General features: G+C 37.1%; 1 protein-coding gene across 8 annotated transcripts in view; it reads right to left on the bottom strand.

The window, feature by feature from the left end:
- The window catches only part of TMPRSS15 (transmembrane serine protease 15), a 216,769-nt gene that overhangs the window by 12,793 nt on the left and 191,729 nt on the right, over positions 1-12,247 (bottom strand). The gene's annotated exons all lie outside the window — the stretch shown is intronic.

Below are 12,247 nucleotides of genomic sequence, written 5' to 3' on the forward strand. Positions count from 1 at the left end.
AACACGGTGAAACCCCGTCTCTACTAAAAATACAAAAAATCAGCCGGGCGTGGTGGTGGGCGCCTGTAGTCCCAGCTACTTCGGGGGGCAGAGGCAGGAGAATGGCGTGAACCCGGGGGGCGGAGCTTGCAGTGAGCCGAGATTGCGCCACTGCACTCCAGCCTGGGAGACAAAGCAAGACTCCGCCTCAAAAAAAAAAAAAAAAAAAAAAAAAAAAGTAAACAGTATGCCTTATTATAATTTTTATAATCTAACATATAAACTTGAATAATCTCCATATACAATGTTGGCCATCTATAATAATTGGTAAAGGATAACACTTGTGTTGTAGAACAGATTAAATTGGGTAGTATATTATAATTTGAAAGTGTGCAAGGACTTTTAAATGTGCTATTGGCCTGCGATTTCTTCACACAAAGGAATTATCAGCTGGAATTAAGCCAGTTAAGCCATATTCACAATGAAGGTAAAATTCAATGGTTGCAATCCTAGGCAGAGCTATTGATTCAATTCTTAACAGTCGCAAATGCCTCGTTTAATGTGGTATTTAAATATTAAAGTCCAAGTCACTTCCAGATGTATAAAGGGCATGAAGTTACTTACATCTATCTATCACTTTGTTTTATTTACCAAATTACTATGTTTGGTCAGGTAGCAGTCATCAGTAAAGCCAGTGAGCGTCCAAGCATTCAGTAAAGCATCCACTGACAACCACATTGCATTAGAACTTGAAGAAATACACCTAAGTGCTCTGTAGCAACAAAATACTACTTGGTGCCAAGTGCAATACCGAGAACTTTTGTATCTCTTCATTTAATCCTCATCATAATTTTACAATGGGAACAAACTAGGCGCTGATTATCTAAATGGTAGGAGGTGACTTTAATTGGAGCTGTCTGACTTTAGAGCCTGCACTTAACACCAGTGACTGGGGTGCCTCATACAGCTCTGAGTGGGGTGCCATGGGAGGGATTGAGAACTAGAAGGAAGGACTGGAGATGTGGGGGGCAAGAGGGAGAGATAAGCTCTGCTGTTGCTTTCCCTGCTCCCACATAGGGGAAGTTATCTCTGCTCCTAGTGGTTGGTGGCAGCTCCTTAAGTGGCTTAGAGACTGGGCCAGGAGGTCATTATGGTGCTGTACAGGCTTGACAAGAGGTCTTCGTGCTTTCTCTTCTCCAGGTCAGAGGAATCTGTACTTCAGCCATGCTTGGCATCTTGATAATTTCAGACAGCACCCCACTTCCACTGTACCCTGGGATTCCCGTGTCTACTTTAGCCTATGTAGGGAGAGTGAACAGAGCCAAATCTCTTCCCTGGTGTTCTGTTTCTGAACTTCTTTCTCTATCACATGTTAAGTATATTTCCTAAAGCTCAACTGGTCAGTTTTCACTTGAGTAGCCTGCCTGTTAAGACTGACAGGTAACAAGTAGTTACTTTATTTTAAAAATTGTATGATTTTTTTTTTACTCAACATTTACCTCACACATTCACTCAATATTTACAAAAAATTAATCTTACAATTACTATACCGTATGTTTTGTGTTTGGCATTTTATTAAATTTATTTATACATCATATTCTCTGTTATATTCATATAACCAATGTATTGTAATAGTATTTATAATTTATAGTGTATGTATATAAATTATCTATATAAATATTACCTATATTAATGAACTATTAATATTTGCTCACAGTGTATGAGATCATTATATATAAGTTGGAGTTAACAGAGGACATGTCATTATTAAAAATTATAGGATTGTCTCCTCAGGTGTTTTATACATATTTTATCTTCAGAATTTTTCATATAGAAGTTCAGAGAGGTGCATGCAGTTTATTTGATATAGATTTAAATAAATGTTAAATTAAGGTATTTCAGAGAAAGAGCATCTAAACTCCCAAATTCTTCTTTGTAAATACTATACTTTATCTGAGAACTAATCAACATAATCACTGATATGAGAGAGCTTGTAGGTAACATAGTTTAGTAATCATCACTTCCTTTCATTATTTTAAGGACTTGAGTAGAAAACCAATATATGAACCAGGAACGTGCAGATTAAATATACGTGCTTCAAGCTACTCATCTAATTTAATACAATTTACAACAATATTAATCTGACACATTCTTGATAATTTCCAAAATTGTTTATTGTGCCACATAGAAAATAGCCTCTCTTTCATGTTTTTATTACTTCAGTATCTATGAGCAGCACCATGGATAGGAAAAATTCCGCCGCCATGTATCATTTACATCTTTCCTTCAAAGAGAAAGGCTGCTCCACAAACCTTTCTGTCATGCACTTAACTTCCCCACCACAAAACCAACACTAGCACAAGCACCACCAGTACTACTCCATCTGGCAGTAATTTTAGAGCTTTTCCTCGGTGGAAAATGACTGGAGAATACAGAGCTTACAGCCAATAGTTCTTAAGTTCTAGAGCCACTTGAGGAAGTTTCTAAAACTTTAGATTTCTAGTTTCCATTTCCAGAAATTCTAATTTGGAAAGTTGGAGTGGCACTCAACAATCTGTACTTTGTAATCACTGTTGGGATACTGAGCAATGCAGAAAACTTCCTAGCTTTTTTATATACCCAAATCTGAGGGGCAGGTGAAGACAGCCTTCAGAAAAATCATTTTAGATGAAGAGATGGGACTTTTTATGTTTTTAAAATCTGGTCTCAAAGCATCTCTTTTCTAGTAAAGGAAGGAAGAGCTATAGCGCTGAAGATAGATGGGCATAGGAGAAGGTGAGAACCACCTGGAATAGGAAATCCCCAATCCGGTGGAGGATAAAGATCGCAAAGATAGGGCATCTTCAGATAGAAGTTGGCTGAATTTACTTTCGGAGGCCGAGGCAGGTGGATCACCTGAGGTCAGGAGTTCGAGACCGTCCTGGCCAACATGGTGAAACCCCGTCTCTACTAAAAATACAAAAATTAGCCAGGCGTGGTGGTGCACGCCTGTAATCCCAGCTACTCAGGAGGCTGGGGCAGGAGAATTGCTTGAACCCGGGAGGCAGAGGTTCCAGGGAGCTGAATTTGTGCCATTGCACTCCAGCCTGGGTGACAAGAGCAAAACTCTGCCCAAAAAAAAAAAAGAGAAAAAAAAGAAGTTGGCTGAATTTTTGCTGCATTTCACCATCTGTCCTGCACAAGCAAGACATTTATCATAGTAGCAAGAGAAAGAGAAGCACAGCAGGTTGGAGAGGGCAGAAAAACATACACTCCTGGTCTCTGTAACCCCAAAGATGCTTCTTTGAAAAAAAGATGCTTTTTTCCCATTTCCTGAGATGCAGAAGCAGCACCAGATAAGATGAACTAGTGGTACCTCAGATATATGTGGCAATGTGCTGATGTGAAAATAACTTCACCACTCTAGGCATCAGGATGTCCATTTGTAAGTGGGACTTTCAATGCAGTAGAAAGCAAATATGGTAAGACAGCTATGATAGAGCATCACAACAGGCTGAAGGGAAAATAAAATCAATGGGAATCCAAAACTGTAAATTAAAACCTTTTTCCTGTTTTACTATTACTAAAGGTGGCACAACAGCAACCTCAACAACTTTGCACCATGCCAACACTGATGTTTACACCCAGCACAGCATTTTTGGTCTCTATTTTTATTCTCCTCTGAATGTAATGAGGATTCCTAGATGGCTAGCCAATTCGAATATTTAAGGCAACTGAAAGTTAGAATGTTTCTGAAACATAGTGTTGTTGCCAGAGAGTACGAAAGTTTTCAAGAATATCGGGCAATTCTGAAAGTACAAAGAAGCCAGATTAAATGAAATAACACTGGCGAAGTTTTAGCAAGGTGACTCTCATATAATGATCATTATCATTACCACAGTTAAAAGAAAAGAGTTGTTTATGAAAGGCCATGTGTCTGCAATGAAACTCAAAAGAGAAAAGTTAACAGGTGCAAAAGGTAGTTTTATTATAAAAGGAGGGTAGGCAACAAGAATATGTTTAATTTTTCTTCCTTTTCATGAGTAAGGACAAGAGTTTCATATATGTGAATATTTTTATTTAATTTTAAGTAGAAATCTGTTTTTAAAATATGGGTATATGCTTATTTGTGTAAGTGTAAGAAACAGAAGTAAGTACAGCAAACCAGAAATAGGCCAAACACTCCTGAGCATAATTTTACTTGGTAGATTATTCCTGAAACTTAAGGAATCATCTTTGAACTCTTTTCCTCACTTGACTTCCAGGATTCACCATGCACTTGTGATTTTCCTTTCATTTCACTCTCCGTTCCTCCTCAGTCTTTTTTTCTCCCCCAGGTCTTTTTTGTTCATCTTAAACTCTAAATTTTAGAATATCCCAGGGGTCTGCCTTCGGCCTTCTCTTTTATATCTACACTGGCCTCATACATAATCTTAACCAAGTCATTATTTTAAATACCTACAATATACTGAAAACTTCTAAATTTGTATTTTAATTCTTGACTTCTTCCATACAGTCTAGATTTGTATGTCCATAGGCTGACATCATTGGCTGATACCAACTTGGATGTCTAATAGGCAGTCCCAAGCTTAATATATAAAAATCAGAACTCTCACTCTCTTTCCAATCTGATTTCTTCCTGTTTTCCTCATCTCAGTAAATGATATCAACACTCACTCCATTCTCTTTTCCTTACTCCATATCTGTGATCATTAATAAATGCAGATGACTCTAACCATCAGAACTTACTAAAAAGATCCAGCCACTTCCTCAGCTTCTTCAGCTATGGTCCTAACTGGTGTCCCTGATTTCACGTTTGCTCCTCCCAGCAGTCCCATCTTCACACATTAGCCTGATTGGATAAGGTCACTCTTTGGTCCTCCACATGGTCCCTCATCCTATTTACCTATTTAGCCTCCTGAGACCTCTCCAGGGCTCGATCCATAGTTCCAGTCTCGTCACTGCCGCTCTGCCAATCCCCTTCTGGGCAACAGCAGCAGGGCTTTTTGAGGTGTCTGGAGTAAGTCTACCTCACTTCTACCCCAGAGCATCAGAGTTTGCTGTTACCTTCAAAGAAATTTGTGTAACATTCTCCTTCATTTCTTTAGATTTTCCTTCCATTTTCAATTGGTCTGTGACACTTTCTCCAACCACTGTATCGAAAACAACCTTCTTGCTCTTATCATATTTTCTGTTCATACTACTTTTCTTTACTGCATGTATCACTGCTAAAGTATTTATTTAAATGTTTTTCAGCCTTAACATGTCATATAAACCTTATCAGAGGAAAGATTTTGTTGGTCTGTACAGCACTATCATCTCCAAACTTAGAAAACTACTTAGCACAGGATAAGTGCTCAGCAAATGTCATCTGATTGAATGGATATATAAAAAACAGTAAGCAATCCAAGAGCAGGAAGGAATGAATATTACCAGTGGTTCCTCATAACAGCCAGGTAACGGGCAGAGTTGCGTATCAATCCACATAATTTCACTCTCTGTTCTTCCTCAGTCTTCTCCCACCCCACCCAGCTCTTTTTTCTTTTTAATGTTTAGAGTCTCAAACTCTAAATATTAAAATATTCCTTCTTTGTGTAACAAGTGGTTATGCAAAATAACTAAGAAAAAAGGTGGCTCAACAATGTGATCCAAGATGATGAATTAATTATCAAAGTAGAGGTAACTTGAGAGATACGATAGAAACTTTTAGGAAATGAAATTTCTGAGTGCACTAATAATTATAATGAGATACATGCCAAAGAGACATATGTTATTAAATAGTGGTAATAGAATGGTGTCAAGGAAATGGATTGCACGATATAGGTCAAGAGAGACTTACAGGAAACACAATTTTACAGGGAAACACAAGGTTGGAAGTTGATATAACCTCTAATAAAGACATAAATCTAAAAAGTCTTAGTGATACAGTAAGATAGTATTAACTTTTAGGAAGATGACTAGCACTCAAACTTGAAATATTTTGGAAAAGGATCCAAGACCTAAGCTCTAACCAAAGTCAATATTACTAACCTACCCTTGAAATCTCTACTGTCTATGACTATTTATCAGAGAACTAAGAATAGAGCTACCATTTGATCTAGTACTCCCACTGCTAGGAATCAATCCAAAGGAAAAGAAATCAGTGTATCAAAAAGATACCTGCATTTGTGTGTTTATAACAGCACTATTCACAATAGAAAAGATACTGAATCAACATAAGTGTTCATCAACAGACGACTGGATAAAGAAATGTGGTATATATATGCAATGAAATACTATTCAGCCAGGAGAAAGAATAAAATCATGTCTTTTGCAGCAACATGGATGGAACTGGAGGCCATTATCTTAAGTGAAACAACTCACATGCAGAAAGACAAATTTCAAATATTCCCACTTATAAGTGGGAGCCAAATAATGTATAGTGGACATAAAGTGTGGAATGATAGATCAGAGAGAGTTAGAAGGATGGCGCTGTGGGAGGCGGGTGGATATTAAGAAATTAATGTGTAGAGTGTACATTATTCAGGTGATGGATACCCTAAAAGCCCTGACTTCCTCACTATGCAATCCACCCATGTAACAAAATTACACTTGTACCCCATACATTTACACAAATAGCATTTAAAAGAGAAGTCTCTATTGTCCTAAGAAAATGCTCTTCCTTTTTTTTTTTTTTTTTTTTTTTTTGAGATGGAGTGTTGTGTTGCTCTGTCTCCCAGGCTGGAGTGCAGTGGTGCGATCTCGGCTCACCACAACCTTCGCCTCCCGGGTTCAAGCAATTCTCTTGCCTCAGCCTCCCGAGTAGCTGGGACTACAGGCGCATGCTGCCACACCTGGCTAATTTCTTTTGTATTTTAGTAGAGACGGGGTTTCACTGTGTTGTCCAGGCTGGTCTCAAACTCCCGAGCTCAGGCCCGCCTCGGCCTCCCAAAGTGCTAGGATTACAGGCATGAGCCACCACACCCGGCCGCTCTTCCTCTTTTTTATCTGCAAATATTACCATAATCTTAAAATGATATTATAGTATTTCTTCAATCTGAAGAACATTATATATTACAAGCCTAACTCCCTAGAACAATAAGACTAGGTAGATAAACAGAAAAATAAAATTAAACTAATTATATGTATATTTTAGGATAAGTTTAAGAAGAAATTAAGTATTTAAAAATTATTGAATTGATATATGTCCTGTGTTCTGCTTAAAGCATGAGACATTCAAAAAAATCCAAATTTTAAGTGGTAATTATGGTATCAATTAAGTAATGTTATTTTATTATAAATGCTTAACTGTTTAAAAAGTTGATTTTCAAAGTTTTATTAGTTATATCAGTTTACTAAATGGAGTACTAAATAAATTATAAATAGGCCGGGCACAGTGACTCACACCTGTAATCCCAGCACTTTGAGAGGCTGAGGTGGGCGGATCACCTGAGGTTGGGCTTTCAAGACCAGCCTGACCAACATGGAGAAACCCCGTCTCTACTAAAAATGCAAAAGTAGCCGGGTGTGGTGGTGCATGCCTGTAATCCCAGCTACTCGGGAGGCTGAGGCAGGAAAATCGCTTGAACCCGGGAGGCGGAGGTTGCAGTGAGCCAAGATCGTGCCATTGCACTCCAGCCTGGGCAACAAGAGTGAAACTCTGTCTCAATAAATAAATAAATGAAGTATAAATAGTAGTCTGTATTTCTTACCATGCCCCAAATACCTCATATATGAAATTATTTATTTCAGGAGTGTTAACACATATTTTAAGGAATTGTTTCAATAAGAAATCAGGTAATCCCTGTGATGTCTCTGGTCTGCTCTGAAAAGCTAAATTAAAGAATGAGATCTTGGCAAGAGGCTCCCTGTCACTAATTTCATCTTTAATAGATGTCCGTTCAATGACTGTGATCCAGACTGTAAATCTATATATGATTGCCCACCCACGTGACTGCATATTTGCTTCTGGAAGCTGGGATGTGAGTGACTAGAAAGAGGTAATGGAGAAACTTTTTGGGTGATTGGAATGTTTTATATCTTCAGAGGAATGTCAGTTTAACAGGTGCATGCATTTAAAAAATGCATCGATTTGTATACTTAAGTTTATGCATTTTCCTATATGTCAGCAGGAAAAAAGAATGGAAAACAAATATGAAACCTTGGTTGATGCGTGTGCTTTATGCAGTAGTATGAGTCAGCAATTCTCAAACTCCTTTTTGTGTTCCAGGCTTTCCAGACTTCAGCAAATACATCAATAGCTTGTGGATAATAGGAACAATGTTTTTTGTTATTGGAATCAAGATGTAAAAATACAGAAGACAAGGTTAGGATTTATCCTGTAGTATTCTATTGGAGTTGGAGTCATTGTTTTGAGTATATATTTGTAGGTATATAATAGAGCTTTGTTCACTGTATAGTTTTAGGAACAGGACACAACATCAGTAGCCATAAGCACACAAGATCATGTTTACCAAAATACAGAAATAACTGAAATTAGTTAAATAGAAATAAGGTTTCTTACAGAAAAGTTGACTTCAGGACTAGGATAGAAAACACACAAGATTAACCTGGAACATCTTATTTTGACAGAAAATAAAAGAAGTTCTCAAAGAGTAGGACTATATTAAGGCTGATAAAGGAGCAAGCTTGAGGGTTTTTTTTTTTCAAATAGAAGAATTTTCCTACCTAATAACTGACCTGTATTCAAAAATATTAAAAACAAGAAATACAGAAAGGGGCTACTCTACACTAAAGGAGATGAAAAAAGTGTAGCATCCAGATGCAATACACTATCCTGAATTGGTTCTAACATGGCAAACATGCAAACAAAATAAAGAGCATATTTGTGAAATTAATTAGGATTGTATTTCATTAATGTTAAATTTCCATGATTTGCTGTGATTCTGTAGGAAGTGTCCTGTTTTTAGTAAAAATACTCTGAGTACTTAAGAGTATAAAAATACATCTAACCTACTACGAAATTGTTCAGAAAAAAAAGTCTCCTGACTTAGAAAGAGATGATAATAAAATATACAGAGGAAAATGTAAGCAATTGGTGAGTCTGAGTAAAGGTATAAAGAGCTCTGCACTATTTTTGCAATTTTTATGCATGTTTGAAATTATATCAATATAAAAATTTCATAAAATAAATATGTTGAATATCTATTGTGCAAGACTTGGCGTCTTCTTTCATAGAGCTTTCCTATGCAGGAACTGCAACACAATCAACATTTTATTGCACATTCTTGCATGAATCGCAGTAGGCAAAAGCATTGCAGCATCTTATTGTTGTCCTGACAAGCAAGATAGATATCCTTATGAGCTTCCTACAGATGAGGAAACGGAAACTTAGAGATACTAAGTTGCTTGTCCATAATCACACATGTGATTTGTTGGACATACAGGATTAAAATCCTCTCCTTTGGTTCAAAGTCAAACTTGCCCTTTAAGCCACAGGAAGGTTGGCCCACACTTCCAAATCCTTCTTTTAAGGTTGTGAAAGGACAATACCACGATAGAGAAACCGAACAGGCACAGGGTTATTTAGAATCACTCAGGAGAACTTAGCCTGAGGAATGCAAATGAAGTGTTGATGATAAGATTAAACAGAAGAGCTGTTCAATTAAACCATTTAACCACCTGCAGGTTAAAATACCTGGAACAGGTTTACACTGAGGGCAAGCCACTTGTGTGGCATGAGTTTAATAACTTGCTTGATCTGAGTTATTCTTTTTATTAGGAAATTAAGCTTTCCATAGCACAATTAGGCTTTTAAAGAGACAGATAAGAGCCAGTATTAACATACTGATAAAACAGTTTTTGATTAAACTATCTAAAACAATATCAGAAACTTTCTTTGTTAGAGACATGAAGTAGAAAGCAAGAAAACTCTTAGGCATTAGAGAAAAAAAAAATAATTCCATTGAATGCCTAAGGAGAGTAAAATGCGTGGTTGGTAAGGATAATTTTGAATTTATCAGAATTCTAGTACAACTTACCTTTGCTTGTGCTTAAGTTGAAACTGAAAAGACATTTTATTGTCCTATGTGATTGTGTGAGAGAAGCAGGAGCCTAGGAGAGCCAAAGTAACACCATTTTAAGTTCAGCCCCATCTTGAGACTAACAAGACACATTCCTTGCTGGTCATGACCCATAGTCATAAAATGTTTATTGTTGAGGAAGCAGCCTAAAGATACCTACGAGGACACATTCCTACAATGGAAAGTCCAAATGTATCAACACCCATAACAATATATGCTTTCAAGATAATTATGCTTTGATGTACTTACACACTGCAATGTCAAGGATTGTTTTCTCCAAATCAATGGAATAATAAATTTTGTCAAGGTTACTCTCATGTAGACACAGCCTAGTTTAGTATTTACATAGACAAGACCCCCATAGAAGAAAAACTTAAAGACAGGGCGTTCCTTCTCTTGCTTTCTAAGGATGCCCTACTTTGTGACTCAGGAGCTTTCAATAAACGATCTTTTTGCACTGCACTCTGCGACTGGCCTTGAATTCCTTCCTGTGTGAGATCCAAGAATCCTCTCTTGGCACCTGGATCTGGATTCCTTTTCTCTGGTAACAATTGGACATGTGTTTATACTAGGTAAAACTGCCTTTCTATTTTCTACACATATTTGTTGTTTGAAAAGCTATGAGATTGGTATCATTAACCTATTAGAAGTACATCTGTAAAATAGATAATTGAAAGACATCACTAATATTACTGCGAGCCTGATTGATGTTTAGACAGCATATGTTTGGCAAGAACATTAAACAGGAATTTGCCAAATTCAAGGTTGATATAGCAAGGTTGCTAACTTATTAAGATCTACCTATGTGCAACAGAAAACACTGACTTTTTAGCTAAAACTAGCTTTAATTTGCATCACAGTTAGGATACAGATGTTATGCTATCCGTGACATGTCCAACGCAAACAACATGTGTAAAGATTAAAGCCATGTTTAGAAGGGGATGGAAAAATTGCCTCTACAGACGCTTGTTATAGTATGAAAATAAATTACAATATGATTATTAGGAGGCAGCAAAGTCAAGAGGGTGCACTTTAGTTAAGGGAGAGGCTGCAATTTAGTCTCCAGGATGTAACACTCAATGGATAGAATCAGAGAGAGCTTTAGATGTAGATGGGATGGTGCTGTCGGTAGCTCCTTTGGAGACCAGCTATTTGGCAAACCTGAGAGCTAGTTGAGGGTCCTTTTTCTCCAAAGTCCTGGGATTATGCATTTGAGTCTACTTTCACTCTGATATAATGGGTATTTAGGCATAAGTGCAATCTTTTAATGTTCATTCTACCTGGCATTCCCCATCTCCTTTAAAATTTTCACAATCTCTGTGTCTGACAGTTGGTCTTCATTTACCCAAGGATCTTAAATATCTATGTGGGTAAGGAAAGTTGAGTCTTGTAACCTGATTAACTACGGCTGCCTCGTCCATGCCCGGTTCTTTCCTCGTCAATGCCTGGTTCTTTCTAACATGGTTCTTTCCTCTGAGGTTCTGGATCCTGGCTACAGAGAGGCTTACTCTAATCCTCATGGGTAAGGTCATTCACTGGACACCTCACTGACATAGGGACAGGAGATGAGTCCTAGATCAAGCTCATACGTATTATATGAGGAAGCTCCCTTTTCTCCTGACTGAATTCAGAACCATGTGACTATCTAGAGAGGTGGCATCTTTGATGTGGAAGAGGAGCATGAACATGTTCTTGGGTCCAGGATCATTTAGCTTTTCCTCCTTTACTCCCACCCCCTTCCATCCACTCTGTTCTCTCCTCTAGGACTGCAAAATAAATGTCAAAATTCAACATTATCTTGTCCTATTATAGTATAAAACAGAGTCAGATACGGTTGATATTAGTTCTAAATTTCAGTTAATAGGTAGCAATCAAAATAGATCTGACTTAAGAACTAAATACTTTTATCTTAATTCACAACAAAGTGCTTATCCATGAACTTCCAGAGCACAGTATAATTGTAATTTGAGGGCTACCTAAGAATACTGATACTGACAATTTGCTAGCAATAAATATTGGACAAATTGAATGGTAACCAGTACAATTTATACAATAAATACTAATTTCACGCTCTTAAAAATGCTTACCTTTTGAATTGGCAAAAGTTTCCATTTTTATGTATGTAAAAGTGTAAAAAGATCTAATGATGTAATATCTAATGTAGAAGAATTAATATTCATATCTAATGCAGGATAATTTTTTAAAATGTATCTCTATTTTCATACATGACATTAATGGGAAAATAATTGGAATGTTTATAATGTCAT

The sequence above is a fragment of the Homo sapiens genome, chromosome 21, assembly GCF_000001405.40.
Source record: "Homo sapiens chromosome 21, GRCh38.p14 Primary Assembly".
Lineage (NCBI taxonomy): Eukaryota > Metazoa > Chordata > Mammalia > Primates > Hominidae > Homo > Homo sapiens.